Genomic DNA, 24,527 nt, shown 5'->3' with positions numbered 1-24,527 from the left:
ATCTCTCCAACAGATACCAAGGCCACCACCAACATTCCTTTTGAGTACTCCAAATTGGTATTTTTGAATACCTTCTATGTACCTGGTTTCATGGGAATATAAAAATATATATATTTGGAATTTATGTTTGTTTAGGATTCAGTTTCCACAAGTCTCTGGAAAAGCTAAACTAAACTAATAGAAAGGAGATGCAGGGATAGCATGATAAATTTCATTATCCAGTGCTTGTTTTGGGTTCTTAATATGGTTTTCCTTACTTTTTTCTCTCAGGTATATTCAGAGGTGGCTATGATTTATTGGTGAGGTCCAGGCTGGCCTTAGCCGATGGAGTGACCATGCAGGTGACTGTCAGAAGTAAAGAGAGAACACCTGTAGATGTTATCTTAGCTTCTGTTGGATAAATGCTTACTGGACAAGAGGAAACTGATGCACACTACATGGTCAGTGGGCTTTTAGGCTAGTGGCATCAGTTTCCCAGAATCAGACTTTTGAAGATGAATGACTTTGGAGAAGCAAATTAAACATTTGGCCCTGAGCCAGCAGATCAAGCAAATGTCTATCTTTGCGCATGGGTTGTTTTTTTTTTTTTTTCTTTTTATTCTACTTGGTCAGCTTTGGGACGATAGTGCAGCTTTGGGTGATCTTGAAAATCAAATACTATCCTATACTCCAGCTGCTTAACTTCATTTTATTCTTTAATGTGTACCTGAAAGCTCCTGGCAATGCTGGAAAATTTTTATCCCAGAGGGGTGGGGGGGAGGGGGGAGGGGAAGCCAGAGTCCACTTTTGTCACAATTCATTTTTATTAATAGAAAATAAACACTTATTCCAGTTTCAAAGTTGTTATACTTGAAGTTGCTAATTTAAAAAAACGAATTTTAAATAATCACTTAATAATCCTGCTTTGACTAAGACAATGAAATGTGGCTTTAAAAAAAAAGTATTCAGCACCATTTGCTCATAGGTCTTTCAGAGTTTGTTCTTAAAGTTTCTGGAACTTTCCTGTCTGTAAAGTAACAGGAATTACTGAGCTACATTGGAAAGCCTCTCTGGGACAGGCAGTGGGGAGTTAAGCAGTCATCATAAAGGAATCAGTGTACATTCAGCATGGTGACTTGACTACACAACAATCCCTTCCCCTCTACTGTAGCTCAAGAGAGACATGCTTCTAACCACTGAGGTATGAGGAGTCTCAGACTGTTATTTGCTGTTAGAATTGGTCTTCCCAGCTAATAACAGTACATCTCTGGCACAGATGCTATTGGTCCTTAATGTCCTGTGATTTTAGGAAATAGTTTGGATTTAGTTCAATTTATTCAGAAACCAAATGTGTTTAATTAGCTTCACTACTCTGGCAGAGTAAGGGTATGCTGGTTTAGTATCTTTATAAAATATATATAATGTATAGGTAAATCATAGTCTTAAATCATACCTAAAATACTGTATCATTTAAACCAATATCTATTTTAACAAAATGTTTATAACTAAAAACAGCTGATGAAACACTAAATCCAAAGGTATGACAAAGAGGACTCAGCTCTGTGTTGCTTAAAGAACTTTTAAAAGGCATGTGCCCATAACGTCATTCGAGGAGAGGGAAGGAGCCCCCCTTCTCCTCCTCCTTACTATAGAATTCCTGTTGGGGGTGGGCCAGAAATTAGCACTTCTAAATATTTCAGAGAAGTCCAAAGTGTTAAAAAAAAGTCTTTTATGCAAAAGAACGTCTTTCTGCATCAGTGAATAGTAATGCTCATCAGAATTTCCTAATAGCACAAAAAACAAAGCCAAGTCTATACATTTGATCAGATATCAAAGTAATGGGAGGTGGACTATTATGTCAACCTTAGTCAGAGCTCCTGCTGGCTTCTTCCTATACACTGTTCACCAATTTGAGTAAAGTGGACTTTGTGAGAGAATTATGTTTGATGGCCAGGACCTCTTTTGGGCATTTCTTCCTAAGTGGAATACACAACACATAAGGGAGTAGGGGAGGTAATACAGGGAAGCTACTCTTTCCAGCTCAGAAGGAGTTGATGAAGCCCATATATGCATTCAAGAAGCCCATGGGATCCTCTAGCTGTGGATAGTGGCTAATGTGGTCATCCAGAATCGACACTGTGGACCGCGGCAGCGTTTTCCTAGTGGAAGAGAACAGCACGCAGGTGAACTTGAGGCTGGAGCGGGAGGGATGTAAGCCAGTGGGAAGCCCCAGTAAATGACCCTGTGGACACACCACACTGGAAGGAGCCACCAAAGAGCTTATTCACCTTCTACTCTGAAATTGTATCTTAGGCAGATAAACTTGCCAATTCCATTTATACAAACTAGTTTTTAAATGTTCATAATCCAACAAACAACAACTTGAAAATATAACACTTTTGCAACAATTGTCAAAGCAAGATGACTTTCAGCTCCTTAGAGAAGGATGAAGCATCAAACAAGTGGATCACACAGCAACTCACTGCCCAAGCAGAGATAACCAAGGATCTTCCCTTAATCCCAGGAGGAGATGAGAGAGGGGGTATTTTATTTAAAATTATATGCAAGCTGTTTACTACTAGCTTGTATCCAGTAGGCCACAGGAAGGTATGGAACATTCTTATGTGACATAATCAAGATTTCATATTCTGATACCTTCCAAGTAAGTACCTAGAGAGAATAGCAACCAATGAGAAGGCACTTTTCCACAATGAGCTCTTCTCAATCTCTCCTTGCCATCTGCTCAGCCTAAACCAATGAATTGGCTTTACAATCAGACTAAAACAAACAAACACTTTGTAGGTATATCCACTTTCAACCTTTGACTCACATGAGAGCTTTTTGTACACCAAGGAATATGTAGCAGTCATGACAGTGAAAACAGACTATGTATAAATCAAGAGAACGTATAACTGAATGTCTTGATACTACAATTATGTTAGAATAAGATTCCTCAACTCAATCTTTTTATTGTTTCCTGGATGAACAGCCAGCGAGGTTAAAGACAATGGCTAGAGCCAATAGCCCTCAACAGGCAATTCTGTTTACCACTGTCAGGATGAGATACTAACAAAACATAGACTTCTCTCGGGGAGACTCACCTGTACAGCTCCAAAAACTCTGGATAGGGATTTACAGGATCCAATGGCCCATAGATAAAATGAACTAGAAAAGAGAAAAGGAATGAAATACTTAACAGCTCTCACATCTGTTCTACTCCCACCCTAAAATTAACTCCTCTCCGAAAAGAAATGTTTTCTTCTTCCTTTTTTTATTATAATAGGCAAGGTCTCTCTCTCCCTTGCTCAGGCTGGAGTGCAGTGGTGCAGTCATAGCTCACTGTAACCTCAAACTCGTTGGCCCAAGCGATCCTCCCACCTCAGTGTCCTCAGTAGCTGAGACTACATACAGGTGTGCAACACCACACTTGGCTAACTTTTAAATTATCTGTAGAGAAAAATTTTTCTCACTATGTTGCCCAGAGTGGTGCCAAACTCCTGGGCTCAACCAGTCCTCCCACCTCAGCCTCCCAAAAAGCTAGGATTACAGACGTGAGCATCCTCACCCAGCCCAAGAAAATATTTTCTATAAATAATTTTTTGTGTGATACAAAACCTAGCTTGTTTTATTAGGTAACCTCTAAAAAACTGCTAGGCACGTACCAGTTCATTCATTGGACACATCTCCTCCTACAGACAACCATTTGGTCCCTCATCCAGCTCTCCTGCACCCTGGACCAAATGGGATATGCCCAACTTTCAACATCCTCTAAGTCCAGGATACTATCATTCTTTAAGTCTCTCTTCAGTTATAACAGACCCTTGACATTTGAAATCAACCAATAATTTCCTGAGCACTAATCACTATGTGTGAAACACCATAATTTTTTTTTAAATCTGTAAGAATGAAAAGACAAATAAGCACAAACCACCTATAGCCTCTTGATTAGTAATCCAAACAGCCTTCTGTCCGAGCAATTCAGCATGTAATGTGGCAGTCACTGACAATGCACACCACAGAAATCAGTAATACCAACTACCTTTACAGTAATGTCTCAGCTTTTTATATACTTCACTCTACACACACACATCACTGTTCCAGATGTCATGAGTACAGTTGCCAGTAAAATAAAGGATACCCAGAAAATTTGAATTTCAGGTGAAAAATGATTTTTTTTTGGTGTAAGTAGGTCCCAAATATTGTACAACATATACTTAAATACTAAAAAAGCATTTGTTGTTTATCTAAAATTCAAATTTAACTGGGTATCTTATATTTTTATTTGCTAAATCTGGTAACCCTAATTGTATAAAGGAGTTGCGATTACTTTAACCCTATAGTCCTTCAGTTTCCTATCAATAATACAAAAATACTCACTGGGGATAGTTACAGAGGCAAGAGCTCCCACCCAGCGCCTTCTGAACTTCTTCCTCTGATTGATGTACTGTAAGAGACTGTAGGACAGGTAAGTCAGCATGTGCAGAACAAGAAACCTTTACTGTTACAGGGATTCAAGGGCATAACGAGCCACAAGGAACACAAGATACAATTTCTTAATCCAGAAGCAGTTTAGCATTCCTGGAAATGTCCCACTTAATTTATCCATTTCTGTTAACCTCTAGAGTTAACCACCATGTAGCTCTAGTAGTGATTATGCCTACTATCAATATAAGAATTAGTGGGTTTGTGTATTTATTAAGCAGGGAATGAGATCTAGGAAGGCTGACAGTTGGTTTGGATTTTATGTAACTAAAAAGCCCAGGTCTGAGGTTCCAATTTAGGCTCCACCACTACCTACCTCTCTGACTCAAACATATAACACAGATCTTTCAACTCGGTTTCCTCATTTGTTGGTTTGTTTTTTAAAAGACAGGGTCTCCCTATGTTACCTAGGCTGGAGTGCAGTGGCTAGTCACAGGTGCAATCATAGCTCACTACAGCTATAACTTCTGACCTCAAGAGATCCTCCCACCCCAGCCTCCCAAGTAGCTGGGAGTACAGGCATGTGCCAAAGGACCTGGCTAGCCTCCTCATTTTTAAAATAAGAGGATTGTAACACATGATCTTCTGTGTTGACATCTACTTCTTTTTTTTTTTCTTTTTTTTTTTTTGAGACGGAGTCTCACTCTGTGCCCAGGCTGAAGTGCAGTGGCATGATCTCAGTTCACTGCAACCTCCGCTTCCTGGGCTCAAGCAATTCTTGTGCCTCAGCCTCCTGAGTAGCTGGAATTACTGGCTAATTTTTGTATTTTTAGTAGACACGGGGTTTCATCATGTTGGCCAGGCTGGTCTCTAAACTCCTGACCTCATATGATTCGCCCACCTTGGCCTCCCAAAGTGCTCAAATTACAGGCGTGAGCCACTGTGCCCAGCCGACATCTACTTCAAAATTCTAAGTGTAGATGTTGATGAGCACAAAGCTTCATCTGACCACAGATAAAATGGAGAGGATTCCTCTTTCTCCAGCGTAAGACACCACTGCCACATTTTAGAACTCAAACTCATGTATTCTACTCATTCTGCCTGGCAACTCCAGGACAGTTATTTTTGTGAACCTCAAATATCTCATCTTACAAATAGTATTTACTTTTTGGAAAGGAAAATATAATTTTAAAAGACAGTCTTAATTGTTCTTCAGTTTTTTAATACTAAAATGAAATATTCAGGGATCCTGTTGGGGCTTAGGAGAGGGTGGGAGGATTGGCTCCCTCTAACATACAATCCCCAGCAAAGCCATCAGTAAAAACACTGGAAGCTACACTGAGCCAGGTGGCTAGAAGTCAGAGTCTTATCCCAAGTAGTTACAGCTATCACCACCTCTGGGTCCCTTGTGAAAGTGTCTACATTCTCATTTGAACCAAGGCATGGGAATTCTTTGTACAAGACAGAGAAAGAGAAGTCTGCCCTCTCACTCCCCGTTGCTGCAGAAAGATAGGCAAAAGGAAGAGCCTTGTACCTTGAGGGAGGCACTAGGCTACTTTCACAACCATGATTCAATACTTTGAAGCATTTAATACTAACAAAGAGTCCAGTTTCACTCTTATTTTCTATTTCTTTCTTCATATAGACCATGACTTTTTGGTTTGCCCCATAGGTCATCATCAGCCTTCCTGTGATAGGGAATAAGCCAGCAAGGAACAGAACAAGCAATCCCCACTCTCCACAAAAACACGTCTCTGGAAACCAAAGCAAAGGGTAACTTCTTACCTGTCAATGACTAAGTTCCCGTCATTGTTGCGGATCCCTGCCCACATGTCCCACAGCTCACTCTCAGAGGGCCGAGTATACGGCCCAAAGACTGGGGTGAGACTGAAAGAGTCCAAAACGCAGGAAGATAAGTGTGAGGAGAACTCAGAATGTTCAATATGGCTGGAACCTCAGAGGCCATGCAGTCTGGGCCATGCAGTCTGACCCATAAGTGATTTATGAATTCCTTCTACTTCCCTGGCAAGCGGCCAACACCTTTGCTTTAAAATATCAAGCCTTAGGATTTGGCCCAGAATTGTAATGGCAGCAACTTTTCACGACATTGCTCTAGGCCACAATCTTTGACAGTGACACTTACCCTCGAGAGAATACAAAGAAGTTCATCAGTCGTGTGAGGATGGGTGACAGCACACCTCCATCTTTGAGTAGCTGGAGGGGAATAAGTGGAGGTAAAGCTCAAGAACCCAGAGGAAGATCCTCACCGGGGCAAAAGGTTTTATACTAGGAACTAAATCTTTAGCCAAATCTCCTGCTACTGAATGGTTTGGTACTTGGCATTTTGTTTTGCCTACCCGCATTCTTCTCTCAAGGAAGACAAATCTATTTCTAATTCCATCTAAGATTACTTTTCTACAATTCACTAAATCCCTAAAACTTTAACTCTGATATATTCAAGTTTAGAGTAGGATCCTAATTTGTTCAAACATCAAGCTTGTGACACAGATCTTTCCATAGCTGTAATTTCTCCAAATATTTGTTGATCTCTTATTCTTAGGATTGGTTTTGGGTTTACGTAGGGGCCACTGCCTCTGCTTTAGTTGCCTAAGAAGGGAAAAAGTAACTTCATTAATAGAAATTCACAAGGAAGAGGATTTAACTACTGCCAGTTACAGGAGCTATGGCCCTTAAAAGGTCCCAGCATTATTTACGTCAGTACAAATCCTAAAACTAAAGGTCTATCAGTGAAGTACCAACCTTTTGGAGAAGGAGTGGACGGTGAGTCTCAGGAAAGATACCTGTAGAAGAGACTTATCTTAGTCATTTACCTACAGCTTTAATTTTTTTTTTTTTATAGAGACGGGATCTCACTGGGTTGCCCAGCTGGTCTCGAGCTCAAGCAATCCTCTCACCTCAGCCTCCCAAAGTGCTGGGATTACAGGTGCAAGCCACCTCACCCAGCCTACCTACATTTAGGTCAAAGGCAAGCCCATTATCAGAAACTACCCACCCTATTCACCATCACCTCTGCAGCCTTTACTACCAAAACAGAATTACAAATAACAATTTAAAACTGTCATCTAATTACTTCTCCAGGAATTCTGTGTTTAACTGGTCACAATAAATCCCACTGGAATTACTTTTCCCATCTTAAAGATAGTGAAACGGGGAGAAAATATATGGTCATCCAAAATGCTGATAACCAGGCTCTGACTCCCCTTAGCATTTCCCCCTATCACTCAGAACACGAGGGTTAATGATTTGGGCTGTAAGAATAAAACAAGAAGTTTTTAAATAAGTATAGGTCCTTTAAAAACCCTAGAGTTTTTCCTTTTCCCTTTCTCTTCAGAGTCAGTGGAAGAAAGCCATGAGCATAAGTGATAAAGGGAGAGACGGATTTCTCTCCCAGTCTGCTCTTAAGGCGTTCAGGAGACATTTGGATATTCATGAACTTGCAAGCTGGCTACCCAGAAAGTCTAATCAGGGGTTCGGTATTTTCTAACTGAAACTTGGCACTGCCATCAGTTAGGAGTTGGGGAATCTCATACAGTTAAGTCCTCACTTAACATCAGGATAGGTTCTTGGAAACTTCGGCTTTAAGCAGAATGAGGTACAGCAGGTCCTTGAATAACATCCTTTCTTTAAAACATTGATGAGAAAAAAAATTGGTTCCATTATAACGTTTCATTTAAAGTCACAGTTTCCAAGAACCCATTGATGACATTAAGTAAGGATTTTCTACACTAACATCATAGTAGTATTAGAAACACTTGTGGCTTTTTTCTGTATCTTCAATCCTACACTCTCATAACCTATTGCAGTTGTTTCAGATATGGCAAACAGTCTTTACACTCCTCACTCCTTCTGATATAGCTGTTACTAGGTCCTCCACTAGAACTTGCTATCTAATGCATTGAAAAAGCACATGTGACTATAATGCAGCTTTTTATTGACTATGTAAGTAAAGTCACTATCCTTTGTAATGCTGTTTGTTTCTTTATTTTAAAACATTCTGAGAAAGGGTCCATAAATCTTGTCAGACCACCAAAGGAGTTGATGGCACAGAAGAGGTAGAGATCCCATAGTTTAATTATGTCTACTTGAAATATTATCAGATTACCATTTAGGTGCCGCTGTATCTAAAGATGGCCCTTCTAGATTACACCCACTTTCTACCTACCGCCAAGGCAATTACCTCCATTTGACAGACAGAGACTCTTTATGGTAAGCCGACCAGATCGATTCTGCTTGTACCTAGAAGGGAGACGAGGAAACACACATGTAGCTGAGCAAACTTAAACCAGTGCACCGCTGAAAACGAGAGAAAAAGGATACAAACAGTCCAGAAACAATGTACTTTCCTAGCATCATAAGCTGAAGTCTGAAGCTCCACTGACCTGTAGAGAAGCTCCTGAGCAACAATATCTCCATAGTCATGAGAAAGAAGGTTGATCCTGCGGTTCTGGAGCCCCAGATGCCGCAAAAGCGCTTCCACGATGCTGGCCTGCTCAAATATGGAATAGTGATGTGGTCTCTGAGGAAAGGAAAGCCCACATACACAGGATGAAGTCATGAGGACAGCTCTCTCTGCCAGCCTGACCCTCATAGTCTGCGTCTGCCCCCACACCCCATCACCAGCCCCACATAGGTGCTGCTTACCGGTTTGTCACTGAAGCCAAAGCCTAAGAAATCAAGGGCAATCACCCGATGAAACCTCAAGGTCAGACCTTCCCAAATCTACAAGAAAGAAACGATGATTTGGGCTTTCTGCTCCTGCCCCTCCCTTTCACCAGACCTACAGTTGCACAGGAGCTTCAGCCCTATCTTGGCTTAACAGACTTCCATAAAGAGAAAACGCCATGAAACTACCACAGGTCCCACAGATGATCCTCTTGGAAAATGCTTTATTCCTGGTAATTAATCCCTGTTGAGGGAGGGTAACTTGGCAGTGATCCCTTCCAGAGTGCCAAGGAGTTGTTTATTCCCTTCAGTAAATAAGGAACAGTTCAACATTTAATGTTTTTTTAAAAGCAATTCAAATGTGCAAGAGCCTTCTGGTGCTGACAACAAAATCCTTGAGGTTTTTTAAATTTTTATTAAAAAAAAATTTTTTTTTGAGACAGACTCTCGCTCTGTCACCTAGGCTGAAGTGCAGTGGTGCAATCTCAGCTCACTGCAACCTCTGCCTCCCGGGTTCAAGCGATTCTCCTGCCTCAGCCTCCCAAGTAGCTGGGATTACAGGCTTGTGCCACCATGCCTGGCCAATTTTTATACTTTTAGTAGAGATGGGGTTTTGCCATGTTGGCCTGGCTGGTCTCAAACTCCTGACCTCAGGTCATCCTCCCACCTCAGCCTCCCAAAGTGCTAGGATTTGAGCCCCCGCGCCCGGCCGAGATTTTTTAAGACATAGTAGGACGTAGAAGTCTGACTTCATTACCTTGTACCAGTCGTAGCTGGATGTTGGAAAACCGTGTAAAAGCACAACTATCTCTGGACTTCCAACCACACCCACAGAGTCTAGGAAGAAGGAAAGTACAATCAATTATGCCAAATCCCTATAAAAATAACCTCGAAGATGTTAAAATCTAAGTAATCTGATACAAAGAACAAGCAACTGTGACCAAATTGACATTAAAATGACACAATTATTTGTAAAATGTAAGCTTAACTGCGTTAGGTGAGAACAGGCCTTTTCTCCTTTCAATCTGTATATTAAAACATTGTAAAAATCATGCTATGTGAAAATACTTGAAGGCACCTTGTTTACTTTCACCTAGGTGTTTTTAAACAGCATCTCCCCATTTCTCCTTTTGTTCTGTAATATGCAAATTTTTTCAGTGAAAAGTAAATTTTCAGTTAAAAGCATATGATCACAACACATAAACTACAAATTCTTTGTACTTTATCATGAATGGCCTCACAGAAATTCTCTAAGATACAGCAACTATTCCCAAGGAACACCTTTAGCTTATGCTGTTTGCTCAGCACTTTTTATTCAGCAGGAGACCCAATCTAACATCAAAAACATAATAAAACTATTACAAAATCCTGTCAACTATAAAAAGGGCTTAATCAACATAAACATGAACTTTTTTAATGCATATGACAATATGGAAGCATTCAGCATCATCTAAATTAGGTAAACATTTAGACAATATTAACCTTGCTAATAGTATGGGATTAGAACAGGTATATTCATATACTGCCAGTGACATGAAAATTTGGTAATAAGGTTTTCAAAAATAATTTAGAAGCAGTTAAAAATTGTATATACTTTAGCCTAAGAGTTTTGTTCTTGAGAATCTGTGCAAATAAAATCATTCCATTTATACAAGTAGTATAGTTTGAAAATGTAAGGAAAAAATAAACTGTATGGACATGAAGCTTTTACTTCAACATTAGTTTTCTAAAACAGTAAAACTGGAAGTAACCCAAGCCAACATAATAAAAATTGTATACTTACTTAATTGAATATAGCAAATGAGAGGAGGTCAGGAGCAATAATGAAAAACGGTTTATGACAAACATTTTTCGTTATTGCTCTTGACCCCCGCTCAAAACAAATCATTTCCAATCTGTTTCTCAGTTTCTTCACCTATAAAATGAGGTTAATGGCACCTATCTCCAAATGCTGTTGTAAAGATTAAACAATGAAGGCTGAAAACATAACTCAGTGCCTGGCATATGGTAATTACTTGATAAGTAGTGGTCATAATAATCATCATCACTAGCAAATTAATTTATATAATGGTATCAAGACTTAAATCACAGTTACACTACAAATAATCTACAGAAAAAATGAAATCAGGGATGGTAAGGAGAGAGAACCAATGGTGGTTATATCTATTAATATTTTATATATTACCTGACAGGTTGCTCAAAAAAAAAAAAAAACTAATATTGGAATACATATCAAGCTACAAAGAAAACTTATACTAAAAGGTAAGGTCTGCAGGTTGGAATCTCAGTCCCTACCCCCATTCTCCCAGCAGTTTTCTGCGCTTCTCTGCAAGCACACTACACAGAAAGAGAGAGAGATACTCTCCTCCATCATTAAGGAGCAACAAGAGACCAATAGCCACAAAATAAATACCTCAGCTGGGACTTATGTGACCGATACACGCAGGACTTCCAATAGTCCACTTCTTACCTTGGTAGAAGATACGCAGTCCCTTGTAAGTGAAAAACTTGCCTGAAGACTTCCATGAGTGAAGGGCAGGGGAGAGCTGAGGGGGTGGGATGTGCAGGTACGCAGCAAGCAGGGGCACGGCCAGCAGCCCCACCTGGACCCACCACTCCCTCATCCTGTAGGAAAAGCAGAGACCCACTGTAAGCAGTCAGGTAACATTGTCCACTCATCTACAAACCAAAACCTGGTAAGATGGGGTGGGAGATTGCTGTTACCATGCAATGATTACATTGCCCTTCACATAGGCACAAAGCTGACCGAGACTATAATCAAACCTCTGTCTGCCATAGCACTCACCATATTTGTTCATCATTCTAATCTTAAGGAAAAAAAATACATTATTTCAACATATAATCTTCTGCCTCTGCTCCCCGACTTTAACCCCTTAGCCCCTACCCTTGTGGTCTTCCCAATACCTGCTGAAGAGGACTTTATATAAATAAAAGGGACATGACTTAAATGCTGGACACTCTTTCGTTGACTTTTATCAAGGCTTCCCAGGAAAAAAATAACTTCTTTCTTATTTACTCCAAAAGCTCTACCATCTACCCACTACCCCCAACCAGTAAAATGTTCAAAAAATATATATGTGCTATATCTCATGTTTTAAAGAGTGTGTGTGTGTAGTAACTTATCACATGTCCTCAAGCAGAGAGCTACTCCTGATTTTCAGCCCTCCTGCCTAAATGAAGCCCCATTTAGTACTCCTTTCTGGATTTGGGCTGAGAAACTGCTCAGGGTAAACAGTCTGTGAAAGTAAGATAGCTGCACTGTGTATTCCAACATAAGCAGCTTTGTCATGACCCTGAATATCTAATCTCTTGAGAGGTCAAGGCGGTAGATTACATTTCTGCTTTTCTTAGCAGACTCTTTAAGTTTCCATTTAATTTCCTAAGATGCTCCCCCACCCCCAGATAAGGCATAACTCATACCCAGCGTGTGAGAATTGATTTTGTCTTTGGAAAAAGAGCACTGGTTGGTACACCCAACCCTCCCATGCCCAGGACTTCAAAGGCACAAGTCAGTTTATCCACATTGACAAGGAGTGCCAAACAGGAATTATAAACCGTTCTGTTTCAAGTCTATGACTTCTGATGGTCAACAGATCAAGAATTGTCAGTAGAATGGAAGTTCTCTCAAAACAGCCAGAATGGAAATAATACCCTCCAAAACTAAAATTAGAGTTGTCATAGAGCTGAAATAAATTAATTGCTAAAGCCCTGGGGGAAATGGCTTTCCGTCTGTACACACATTCTTCCCTATTGCCTGTAATCTACCTACCCGTTCGCTAACTTCCTCAACTTACAAGATACTTTTCCCCCCCATATCCCTGATACTTTTTGCTAAAATCTAAAAACAAGCCTGTGGTTTTACAGTGGTAAAATAACCATGTTTCTTAAACAATGTCAGCTCCCCAGGCTATTTTTTAGGCATTATTAGGGCAGTCATTTCTTTTTTTCTCCAAAGTACCTGTCCATAAGACGGATAGAACCATTTGGTCCTACTTCTCAAGGTAATACTAGAAATGGTTCAAAAAAGTGCCAGAACATGATGGTTATATCACAGTTTTCACCCAACAATAGCAGGCTGTATCCCAGTATCTCCTTGAAAGGTCAGATGACAAAAACCATTAGGTTTTGACGATCATTTGCCCAGCCCTATCTGTCCTGTACTTCAATGTATACATTTTCATGTGCAGATTTCATTACTCCTTTCCCCCAGTGCTTCTCATCGCATTCATCCCCGGGGTTCCAGCAGCTGAATCTCTGCAGTGACTCAGCAGAGAGCCCCGGGAGGGGCGGCCAGAGCGGCAAATGGGGAGGCTTCCCCGCCGCTGCTCAGGGAAAGTGGGGGGTTAAAAAACGAGGCTATCGACCAACATACTCCACTCCTGGACACCCCCCTCCACACCCTCCTCCTCTTACTCCAAGAAAGCAAAGAGGCAACCTCTCAGGGGGCCATTTTTTGTCTTATTACCTCAGTAAAAATGCCCCCATGAACTTTTAGGATTTTTAGAAGTGAAGCAACCTAGCCGTCAGTAGGCAAAATGGGTTAAGCAAACATTTTTTGGCCAAAATCCCAACTATTTGATGAGCCATGAGCGGAGACAATAAGCAAACTCCAGTAACAAACTTTCCAAAAATTTCTGAGCCTTGATTTCTTCATCTTGTAAACAGAAAAACACACTCCCGTAATAATACCACCCAACCTGCCGCCCACCTGATGGCGTCGCCGCGAGACGAACCACTTTGAAAACCCGCGAAACCAAGGTGAACAATCCCTGCGCAACATGACAGTTTGGTCACATCGCCGTTCTCACTCGCGCTTGTTACTGAAATCTGAAAAATACTTAAGGCGGCTGACGGGCACTGCGAGTTCTAGTCACTGCGGTGACTCCCGCCACCGTGATACCTGGGTCTTGAAATCCTAAGCTGCACCGCGGCGATCTCGGCACTGCGATTATCCCGTTCTTGAAATCCTAAGGTGCGCCACGGAGACACCGGGGTTCTAAAAATCCTACATCGCACCAGGGCGATGCTGGGGCCTATCCTTTAAGTCGCACCAGAGCGATGCTGGGGTTCTAAAAATCCTACATCGCACCAGGGCTTTGCCGGGATCTATAAATCCTAAATCGCGCCACGGCAACGGCGGAGTCTAAGAATCCTGAATCGCACCAGAGGGAAGCCGGAGTCTAAATATCCTAAATCAAACCAGGGCGATGCTGGGGGTTAGAAATCCTAAATCATGCTGCAGCAATGACTGAGTATAAAAATCCTAAATCGCACCAGGGTGATGCCAGGATCTAAAAATCCCAATTCGCATCAGGGTGAGACCAGGGTCATTATGGATCCTAAGTCATATCAAGATGACGCTGGGGTCCAGAAATCCTAAATCTCACCACGACGATCCCGGGGTCTAGAAATCCTAACCCAAGGAGGTCCCGCGTTCTGAACATTCCATTGCGGGCAGGAGTGACACCCCCTCCTCAAGTAGGCAGAGCGGGCGCGGAATGCGTGCCGCCTGTCGGTAGAGTTTTCGCCCAGAGGCAGCCCCAGCTCGGACACGGGCACACAGTCCTCCGCTCGCCTGCGCCCTAGTCCCAGGGCCGCCAGCCACACCCCCTCGTTCCCACCGCACACTCACCTGCGGAGGCGATCTCGGCGCACCATGGCCGCGTTATCCCATGCCGCCCGCCGCAGCGTTGCAGAGCACCGGGCGCCGCAGAGCCCGCAGCCGTGCAGAGCTGGCCAGCAGCGGGGGCGCAGCCCGCAGCCCACAGCCCGCGCAGGGCGGCGCCGCGCCGGGCAGCTACAGCCACTCCGGCGTGCGCTGCGGCACTGCGCTTGCGAGGCGCAGCTGCCGCAGAGGAGGTGCCGGGGTGTGCTGGTTGCCGCGGCAGCGCGGAGCGAGTGGGCACCGACTTTTAGAGCCCACCCGCGCCCCGCCCCTAGCCCGCCCATCGCCGCAGAACCCCTACCGCCTGCTCCCTTGCTCGCCGCAGAGCCCCTCCCAGCCGCTCTACCACCGCCATGGCCACAAAGATGGGGTGCCCCTCTAACAGTGGCTCCTTTAGGGGGCACCTTCAGGGGTGTCGAGCCCCCTCCCCAAGACCCCGCTGCTCCCTCGTTAACCGCCAACCCTGAGCCCGAGATTCTGCTGCAGAAACCCTCCCCTGATGAGTTAAGGCCACGGGCAAAAACAGCAGACCCCTGAGTGCCCCAACTCTTTCCTTAGACCACCCACAAACCCCACAGGCCGCCCACAAACCCCACAGGCTGCCCACAAGCCCCACAGGAGGATGGCCGCTCGAACTAAGGGGCAGCAGGGCTCTGGGGTGCCGGCCGTGGCGCCTGCTCCCATCCCTCGTTCGAAGCGTGGGTACTGAACCGTGAGAGGTGGCGAGCCACGAGGGCCCTATGCGCCCTAAGCTTAACTACCGGTAACCACCAAGGGCACGAGCAAGCGGCTAGGGAGCAACAAGCTCTGTTGGACCCACCACCAAGCTAGTAAACAGATTCATGGGATGGCCACTATGGCCAAAGTTGCACAAAGTCCGGTTTCTCCCGCTCCAGCCACCGCCGCTGCGCGGGGCAGGTTTCCTTTACAGCAGCGCGACGTGGTCAGCATGCCAGACGCCTGGCCACAGCAGCGCCCTCGCAGCCCCGCTCGCTGCATGCGCCGGTCCGCGCTGCACAGAACAGTGGGCACAATTAGGAGAGCAAAGCCCCCTTTATTTACGTAAGATAGAATCACAATGCAAGGGCCCAGAGGCACAAGAAAGAGGGAGGAATTTTTCTAATCCATAATCCTTTAAAAGGCATCCCTTACGCCTTTGAAAAGTGTAGAGTATCACGAAGTGTCTGTGTTCATTTTCTGACCGTAAACTGAAATACTGGTGAACAAACGTGGGGTGCGAGCGGGTGAGCGGGGCGGCCGGCCGGTGCCCGCTGCATCCAGAGGGGGCGCTGCAGGCCTCCCTTCGGCTGCGCACGGCCCGGGCCCTCCGCGGCTCTGCAACTCTGCACCCCGAAAGGTTCGGTGCTGGACCGCGGGGCATCCAACCCGGGACCGGGGGCGACCCACGGACACTGAGGAAACTACCGCCTATAAGCCTATCATCAGAACCTCTGGCACAACACAGGTACACTTCTGCAGGGGTCTGGTTGCCCCCAGAAAAAGCACTCATGAAACAAATGCTGATTTAGCACCTACAGGGCACTAAGAACCGGGGGTGCGAAATAAATGAGAAATAGCCCCGGCCCGAAAACAACACACGGGCCATCTGGAGGGGAAGACAGACAAGAACTGCCACTTTGTAAAATTTTCCTTTTAATTTCCTAGCGACGTTTGTGGCAGTTGACCCACTCCTCCCTAACGTGTAAGGCCCTCAGAGGCAGAGCCCAAGTATTATTCACCTTTTGTAGCCCCAGAGCCCGCCACGGTGCCGGCCACAAAGCTGGCCCCTAATAAATACTGCTTGAATGAGTACAAGAATTTGAGGGCGCACAGGGGAGGAAGTAATTAAGGGGAGGGGCGAAGGGTGGTCTTGAATGATGAATAGACATTTACCAGAGAGACAAAGAACATTCCAGCCGGAGGGGACGGCTTTCGCAAAGCACCGGAGGCTCAGGGCCGCGTGTTTGGGGAAAACGGTTAGTCCTTTGAGCCGGCAAAAAATTAGGATAGCAAGAGAATTTCATCGTAGGGAATTAGGAATTTGTTCTAGAGAAAATGAGAAGCCACAGATGGATTTAAACTCTTTATGGCCTTAATTGGTTACTTAACAAAATTTAAATTAGTCTCTTTACAAGTCAAAGATTACCTATTTTAACTACCACTACCTTTTAAAGACTGAATTACTCTGCAAAATCTAAATCGGTTCTTCCAAAAAGGTAAAGGCTTTCCTATTTTAATAATAACAATAACAAAAGCCTTTGCATTATATATTTTTCATATTTATTGTTAATGGAAACTTTGAGTCCTACAAACAAATTCCACACTTTCATTCTCACCAGGCCAGAAACACCAGCATCCAAGATGAAGGCAATTTTCTGTTTATGGACTGAGTACCCCACAAAAGATCTTATTCTGAAGGCCATGGAACATGTCTACCCACATGGATCAAGTGGGCAGACTGGAGGAGAAACAGTTTAAAGGCCCTGGGGGAAGGAGGGAGCGCCAGGGAGAGCTCCTGAAGACAACAGGAATTCCAAGTCTGGCACTCGGGAGAAATCCTCCCTTCAGACATTATTGATGTCTGGCCGAGGAGTTAGGAAAAACTTCCTTGAAGGAGGGATTGAGGTTGAGATGGGCATGGAACCCAGATCTTAGGCAGAGAAAGCATATTCCTGTTTGGAAGAACCCTGAGTACAGAAGTCAGCTCAAAGATATCAGCTTGGCCCAACCAGGAATTCGCTGTGGGAAGTCTAAGAGAGAAAATGCTGGCCATAATCCCCCAGGAGCCAAAGAGTTAACGAATCTTCTAAATGTGCCTGATTTACTTCCAGAAAGGAGCTTCCTCCGCAGGGGGAGAATTTGACCCAAGGTATAAAACACTTGGAGCCCTGAGAAAACACACAGCCACACATAAATTCAAAGTCGGCTCTGGCTTGCTCGAAGTTGCACCCTTTCAGTTCCTCTGGACAGATGCTATCCTGGACTGTGCAGGATATCTCATGCAGTAGTACTCCCTCAGCCAGTGGCTTATCACACATTCTTGTCACATTCCAAGTCTAACACAGTTCCGCCTCATGATAAGACCTCAGATCTGTGCAAAAATTCATGTAGAAAGCTCTGCATTTATTATCTCGCTGATTCACAACAGTGGTATGGGATCAGCAGAGATGGTACCACAGATTCAAGAACCATATTTTTCTAACCCCAGTTTGAGACCCATAATATGACAAGTGCAGGATATTTATGGAGACAACAAGACACAACCGGGACTGCCACTTTCAAGAGCCATCATTGTAGATTCAAATCAACTAAAACACTTCATAATGGGAGAAACTTGGTTGAACAGGAGCACATGTTAACGAAGGGGTTTTGGTTGAGAAACTTACTGAATCAGTAAGACAGGACCCTTAAAAAGGCTACTGTGACTGCAGACTGAGGGGAAGTACCAAAAATAAGCTAATCCTACTCTATTATGCTGGTTAGAACTCACAGAAAGCATTTTATTCTGTTCTACAGAGCAGATACATATTGAAACAGAGACAAATAGGAATGTGTTCAGAGAAGGTCAACTAAATGAATTGCAAACTGAAGGTGTAACAGTTCTCGTATTTTAAGCTCCTACCATGAGCATGGATCTTCACCCAACATATCCCTGATCCTCACAGTAGCCTGGCTAGATGAGTATTTTCACTCACAGATTTCAGAGAGAGATACGGCAGCTCGGAACGCTAAGTGTTAGGATGTGAAGGGGCTGGGAACTGAACGCAGATGTGCCTGGCTCCAAAGTTGGCCTTCTTTCCACTACTCCACACTGCCTCCCTGTTTGAAATAGATGGGCATGTTTGGTTTGAAGAAAAGAAGCCTTGTGGAGTAAGTAGAAGAAGGAAATGTGTTAGCAGTCCTCAAATATTTGTGGAAGCAGCATTAGACATTTTATTCTGTATGGCTCCAATGAGTGCAAATTGTAGAGAAACAGATGTCGATTCAACATAAAGAATTTTCCAACATAGGGGCTGTCTAGAGGGATTGGGTGGCTCAGCCATTTTGGTATGGGACAAATTCTCTGTCCACTGGGGGCTGGGTAACCCTGTGGCAGGTATGCGAGCTCTGCATGTAAGACAATGAATGACCTGCAAGGTCTTTTCCCATCTGATGTAAAATAAGGCTCCAAGATGAACTGGAACTTGGCCAGGGTGATCCTCTACTGAGGGGACAAATTCACAGCTCAGTCTTCCCTAGTTATGTCCCTCAGCCCAGAACCCTTGGTACAACATGCTGCTTTGTACTGAGGGCAAGGCAAATTGAAGACATTATCATCAATAAAATCACATCGAGCCCGCTCTCAACCAAATTAACCAATGTGGCCGGGCGCAGTGGCTCATGCCTGTAATCCCAGCACTTTGAGGCTGAAGCAGGCGGATCACTTCAGGTCAGGAGTTCGAGACCAGCCTGGCCAACATGGTGAAACCCCGTCTCTACCAAAAATACAAAAATTAGCCATGTGTAGTGGTGTGTGCCTGTAGTCCCAGCTACTTGGGAGGCTGAGGCAGGAGAATAGCTTGAGTCCCGGAGGCAGAAGTTGCAGTGAGATGAGATGGCGTCACTGCACTCCAGCCTGGGTGACAGAGCGAGACTTCATCTCAAAAACAAAACCAAACAAAAACAAATTAACCAATATATCCCTGAAGCTACTGGTGTGTTCCTCTTCAGGCCCATTTTTGAGTAAAAGTGTTTGGCTGTAAAAAGCTCAAAAGATGAGTGGCAGACGAGGGAAGCAGTGGAACTGAATAATCTCTTACCCAAATAAGATGAACCTAAATGACAGATGGTTGTTTCTCCAGGTGACAGTATTAGTGGGCACCCCTAAACTATCTTCACACACCCTCTGCATTACTCCACACATCCCATTATCCCACAGCTGGTACTTCTTCACCAGGTACTCCTGCCCCACTATCCCACACCTAGAGGACATTTTATCCACTCAAACAGATAAATAGGCTGAAGGATTCTAATTAAGTAATAGAATCTTGCATTTTTATAGCTCTTTACCCTTTCACATATATCATCTCATTTGTCACTCACCACAGTCCCCTAAGGAAAACAGCTACTTTCTTTCAGACAGGCAATTTTCTAGCTGCCTGGGAGCTAGGAGGAGGAAAGGGCTTCAGCACAGGCACAGTCGCTCTTTCTCGCTTTTTTTTTTTTTTCCTGTTACTACCTTCCCACATTAGATTATGCCTCCAGCCAGAATGAGTCAACCAGGAGCAGGTGCTTCCGTTTTCCTCGACTGCTCTCCTCACCTCACACCTTCTTCAGCTGTCCCCCTCCCTGAACCAGGCCCCCAGCCGCGCCACCACTGCCGCTCTCCGCCCTGGTGACCCCAGCGCCTGGACCTGGACCGACACCTGCAGCTCCGACCCGGAACAGCCACGCCCTCTACCACTCGGTCACACCCGTGTGCCTGCGACCTTTCCAACCTCCAAGGCTGGCTGTCCCACAAGTAGGAAGGCGCAGCCTCCCAAGAAATCGAGTCCCCACGCCCAGGAGGGCGGGTGGAGCCAGCTAACGGAATGACTAAACTCTGTCGCGGGGGTCAAGCCTCGGCGAGGGTTGTGTGACTTTTGTGTTCTCTACGACCCCGAGGTGCTGGGAGGCGACGACCGAGGCTCTCGCCCACGTGGCCCTCTTCTGGACCGGCGGCGGCGCACCTCGTATGGGCACCCACGCGCCCCGGGAGCCCTCCCCTCGCCAGCACAGCCTCACGCCTCCTGGGCCACGCGCACTTACCTGCCCCTAGGACTGGTGTGGCCCACGCACACGAGCCACACCCCCAAGGAGGGCTAGTCCCACTCCTGGAGCGGGCTGCGAGGGTGCACGGGGAGGCTCCACTCCTTCCCCGCCCGCCTCTTACCTGATTCAGGTAAGACCTTGCCTACAGGACTCCATGTTTCGGAGAACCGGTTGCGCATGCGCTTCCTGAGGCCAGAGGTTCTCGGCCTTCACCCTGTTCCCAGGGAGGACCCGGCCACGAATACGCGGCTCGGGGCTAGAGCGTCGCCAGGTCCGCGCACAAGCCCATCGCCCCCGAGCCCAGCATGTGCTGCCGCCTTCTCCCTGCCAGGCGTCAGCGCCACCTATTGCAAAGGGTATGAAATGGCAGGCCGTGGCTTCGACAATAGCCTCCGGCATTGGATAAAGAGAATAAAATTGTATTCGGCCTGATCTGAGTACTTTTACATAATAAAAGTGAAGGCCAAAGAAGTGACATTTTGATAGTTATTAACTACCTAGAGATCTTCGGCGAGCCTTCCGTATTTCAGCCCTTCCCCTAATTTCGCAATTACCCTAAAGATGGTGTCCATCGCCAGCCCTCTCTCTACCCCGTGCTCTCGATCCTTATATTTGCTGCTTTCTGCTGTTCACATGGCGAACACAGGCATCACATACTCAACAAGGGCCAGGTGAAATTCACTACCCTTTCTCACCTCCTCTTTCCCACACTACAAACTGACCCCTGTCCTAAGAACTGACGCTTCCTTCTCTAGTCTGTATCTTGGTTAACGCACTTCTGTCCACCCCTGTCTCCCACACACTGTCACCAACCCCTGTGGAACAGTGGAATGAGACCAAGGGGTCGGGTACCCTTAGATACAGATCCCAACAAGTTCCCTCCTCCCCATCCTTTTCATCTTACCTCCCAAGGGTCTCTTGAGTTCAGCTTGCTCCCCTCCATTCCTAATGCCATTTGCCCTTGTTCGGGGCATTATTTCTCACCTGGACTACTGCCTCCTAATTGGCTTCCAAGTCTCCACCATCACACATTTCTGGTCCATCATTCACAAACCTGCCAAAGTGATTTTTCTAAAATGCAAATCTGATCACATCTCTCTTATAAAACTCTTTACTGACACCCTATTGCTGGTGCTAAATTCAAGCTCTTCAGCTCCGCATGCAAAACACTTCAAAATCTGGTCCTTGCCTTGACTTCCTCTAGAATCTTCTATCTTACCACCTCCATCTTACCCACCCCCACCAAAACCTCATGATCTGACCAAACATTACTAATTATAGTTCCTCCCAAAACACCATGCAGTTTCCTTTCTCCGTGCCTTTACACATGTTCTCCAGGACCAGCTATGTCCTGTCCCACTTGGGCTACCTAAAAAATTCCTCCTCGTTCTTTAAAAATCAATGTAATTTTCACATCCTCTTGCAAGCCTTCCATGAAACTTTCCTATGGAAATGATCCCTCCCTCCTCTGTGCTTTCTCTGTCCCTCTGTTGCCTTATCACATTGTTTTGTGATGATGTTTGCAGACCTGTCTTGTCTCTCCTACCACAGAGCTGAGCTTCTTGAGGACAAGGACAGCATCTTACTCATTTCTATGTCCCTTTTGCCAACCCAACATTTTAATTTTCTTTTTATAGACAAGAGATCTCACCCTGTCTCCCAGGCTGGAGTGCAGTGGTGCGATCATAGCTTGCTGCAGCCTCAAACTCCTGAGCTCAAGAAATCCTCCTGCTTCAGCCTCTCAAATAGCTGGTATTACAGGCATGCACCGTCATGCCCAGCTCAACCCAACATTTTATAATAATGATGATAAGAATGAATAACAGCAAATATTTGTTAATCGCTTTGTGCCAGACTCTGTGCTGAATTTCTCATATGTACATTTTTAACTTCTGATGATTACCCTATAAAGAACTATTATTATCCTAATTTTACTAATGAGAAAACAGGCTTTGAAAGATTAAGGAGCTTGCCCATGGTCACAGAGCTGGTAAATTGTGGAATCAAGATTTAAATCCAGATCTATCTGCTCATGTTTATCTATTCATCAGTTTGGTAGAACTAAAATATTTGAAAAACCACTAGTCATTTTTTAAAGTATTAATGCTTACAGAGTTAATTTATCTTTTAAAGGGAAAACACATAGCTATTCTACTCTAGTGGATGGAAATAGAGTGTTCTAATTTAAACTAATGGTATAGAAAGCCAAATAAATACTCTTGATGTCAGGCTAAATGAGAAAATGATCCTACTTTTATCCCATGTAATCTGTTCTTATTATATGAATGTTACGAGTATTTTTGCTTAGAGATTGATATATTACAAGCCAGTAATAGATTTTTCTTAAAAACTCCTTTTGAAGAAGAGAGATCTAAATTGAAAGACAACCATAGAATGTTTAATGAGTTGTGAGAGATGAAGATACCAAGATATTGTGAGGGACGTGTGAGGTCTAAATGAGTTAATATGTGTAAAGCACTTGGTGGGGTGCCTGGCACACAAGAAGCACTGTATTATTGCTGCCGCTGTTCTTATTAAGAACTTCAAGTAGCTTGCAATCCAGTGGTAGAGATAAACGCATAAGCTGACAACAAGTAATGTGATAAATGATGTAATTTAGCTATGATCAAAATTCTGTGGGCATTCCAAGGGGACAGGGTCTGCCAGGGAATAGGGAGAGTGGCAGGAAAACAAGATGGCACCCAGAGATCCCACAGCTGCAGAGTGAGCACGTTGCTAGAACTAGAGCAACGCAACCTTTTTCAGAAACACTTTATTTGTTGGTAAATCTTTTACTACTAAAGGCTTTACTTCTTAGAATCCACAATGTTTAAAGTTTCCACAGTTTCAAGCACTCCTTTGCCTCTGGTGGTTGGGGGAAGGGGGCCACTGGGCAGAAGGGCAAGGCTTTCACCAAGATGATATGAGAATGGGGAACAGGGGGAAGAGGTCTCTGAAGCTTATGAAGATGTGGCCCAGTACTCAAAGGAAGTTCTGGCCTCATCTAGAAGTCCAACGAGGATGTTCAGACTCCAGGAGGGGAAGACACATTCCCATCCCCCAGGCTCCTGTCCCTCTCTAGTAGAGGAGAAACAGTGGAGCACAGACTTGGTGATGTGTACATTGAGCAAGAGGGAAGGGGTAGGCGGTGGAGCTGTGGCCCAACTTGGCGGGCACTGCCCAAAAAAGCCCACCTTTTTCCTCCAAACCCATGCCAGGTGTCTAGCACACTAACTCAGTGTTTCCTAAGCCAAATGACATGGAAGGCTGCTTAAAAGTCTACATTCTTTACTACAGGCCATTAACTTTATGTAGGCAAAACATATTTATGTTCCTCTGGTTCTTCAATAAACAGAGTAGAGAAACTTTCTGTGGGTAGTTCACTCTGGGCCGGTGAAAAGAGGGCAGCTATTCTGATGTGAATAACTAATAAAACATATACAGAGAAAAAAAAGTTCAAAATTAAACAGAGGAACACTGTTGCTAGAATTAAATAGATACAACTTTTTGGGAAGGCATTTTGGCAATAGCTATCAAACTTGACCCAGCTATTCCACTGTTTCACATTTATACTTTATGTATACTCCCTGACACATGTCTAAGAACAAACAATGCTGTATTATTTGAAAAAAAAATTCAAACTGGAAACAACCTAAATGTCCATCGACAGGGTGCTAGTTATGAGGTTGTCTAACATGTAAAGCTTCCCAATGTTACATGAAAAAGCAAAGTTCAAAATAGTATGTATATTGTAATCCTGGTTGTCTAACATATATGTACCATGTATCTAAACATTTATAGTTACATTTATAATATTGGTATAGATGTATACGTATTAGAAATGCTGGAAAGATCTAGGTGGGGCAAATTGGCAGCACAGGAACAAATTTAATCTGCAGGAAGATTTGTTTATTGGTGGTGGTTGTTTTTTCACTTAAATGGGAATGCCTTTAGGAGAGGCTCCCAT

The 24,527-nt window shown here is 44.2% G+C and overlaps 2 protein-coding genes, 1 long non-coding RNA gene and 1 other non-coding gene across 11 annotated transcripts in view, besides 4 other annotated features; 2 read left to right on the top strand and 2 right to left on the bottom strand.

Annotated features, from left to right (window-relative positions):
• COPG2 (coat protein complex I subunit gamma 2) overlaps window positions 1-839 on the top strand; it is a 162,511-nt gene extending 161,672 nt beyond the window's left edge. The window contains exon 24 of the mRNA NM_012133.6: window positions 271-839. Coding sequence (NP_036265.3) covers window positions 271-401 — 131 coding nt within the window. The 3' untranslated portion in view covers window positions 402-839. The remainder of the gene's footprint in view (window positions 1-270) is intronic.
• On the bottom strand, window positions 612-20,902 carry MEST (mesoderm specific transcript). Of its 8 annotated transcripts, none has more exons than NM_002402.4 (12): window positions 14,738-14,992; window positions 11,555-11,709; window positions 9,842-9,921; window positions 9,064-9,141; window positions 8,802-8,938; window positions 8,600-8,658; window positions 7,162-7,202; window positions 6,545-6,615; window positions 6,187-6,288; window positions 4,357-4,433; window positions 3,081-3,144; window positions 612-2,138 (listed from the first exon to the last, which is right to left on the bottom strand). In NM_002402.4, the coding sequence occupies exons 1-12, from the start codon at window positions 14,761-14,763 to the stop codon at window positions 2,021-2,023; spliced, it is 1,008 nt and encodes a 335-aa protein (NP_002393.2). In that variant the 5' UTR covers window positions 14,764-14,992; the 3' UTR covers window positions 612-2,020. The 8 variants fall into 8 exon arrangements, with proteins under 8 accessions (NP_002393.2, XP_016867707.1, XP_011514524.1 ...); XM_017012218.3 differs by lacking the exon at window positions 14,738-14,992 and adding an exon at window positions 13,814-13,875; NM_177524.2 differs by lacking the exon at window positions 14,738-14,992 and adding an exon at window positions 20,682-20,902 and having other exon boundaries at window positions 780-2,138.
• Window positions 1,827-3,026: an enhancer, noted in NCBI's record as "BRD4-independent group 4 enhancer chr7:130143892-130145091 (GRCh37/hg19 assembly coordinates)". NCBI's record gives its function as "activates an origin of replication core promoter dependent on BRD2, P300/CBP, MED14 and CDK7 cofactors, and independent of BRD4, by STARR-seq in HCT116 cells {active_cell/tissue: HCT116}" and the evidence as "EXISTENCE:reporter gene assay evidence [ECO:0000049][PMID:35650434]".
• On the bottom strand, window positions 10,873-10,966 carry MIR335 (microRNA 335). The gene has a single exon (NR_029899.1). It is a non-coding gene; the product is annotated as a microRNA 335 (primary transcript).
• Window positions 15,955-16,164: a silencer, noted in NCBI's record as "silent region_18646". NCBI's record gives its function as "represses an Ori minimal core promoter by ATAC-STARR-seq in GM12878 lymphoblastoid cells {active_cell/tissue: GM12878}" and the evidence as "EXISTENCE:reporter gene assay evidence [ECO:0000049][PMID:35858748]".
• MESTIT1 (MEST intronic transcript 1, antisense RNA) lies at window positions 16,100-21,035 on the top strand. The gene is made up of 2 exons (NR_004382.2): window positions 16,100-16,235; window positions 17,110-21,035. It is a non-coding gene; the product is annotated as an MEST intronic transcript 1, antisense RNA (long non-coding RNA).
• Window positions 19,911-20,130: a silencer, noted in NCBI's record as "fragment chr7:130126788-130127007 (GRCh37/hg19 assembly coordinates)". NCBI's record gives its function as "represses an EF-1alpha promoter that drives an FKBP-Casp9 reporter gene in an ReSE screen in HepG2 liver carcinoma cells {active_cell/tissue: HepG2}" and the evidence as "EXISTENCE:reporter gene assay evidence [ECO:0000049][PMID:32094911]".
• Window positions 20,218-20,267: an enhancer, noted in NCBI's record as "active region_26656". NCBI's record gives its function as "activates an Ori minimal core promoter by ATAC-STARR-seq in GM12878 lymphoblastoid cells {active_cell/tissue: GM12878}" and the evidence as "EXISTENCE:reporter gene assay evidence [ECO:0000049][PMID:35858748]".

Source organism: Homo sapiens, chromosome 7 (genome assembly GCF_000001405.40).
Source record: "Homo sapiens chromosome 7, GRCh38.p14 Primary Assembly".
Lineage (NCBI taxonomy): Eukaryota > Metazoa > Chordata > Mammalia > Primates > Hominidae > Homo > Homo sapiens.
The sequence above is the reverse complement of the archived record's forward strand: the minus strand, read 5'-3'. Positions and strand labels throughout refer to the sequence as shown.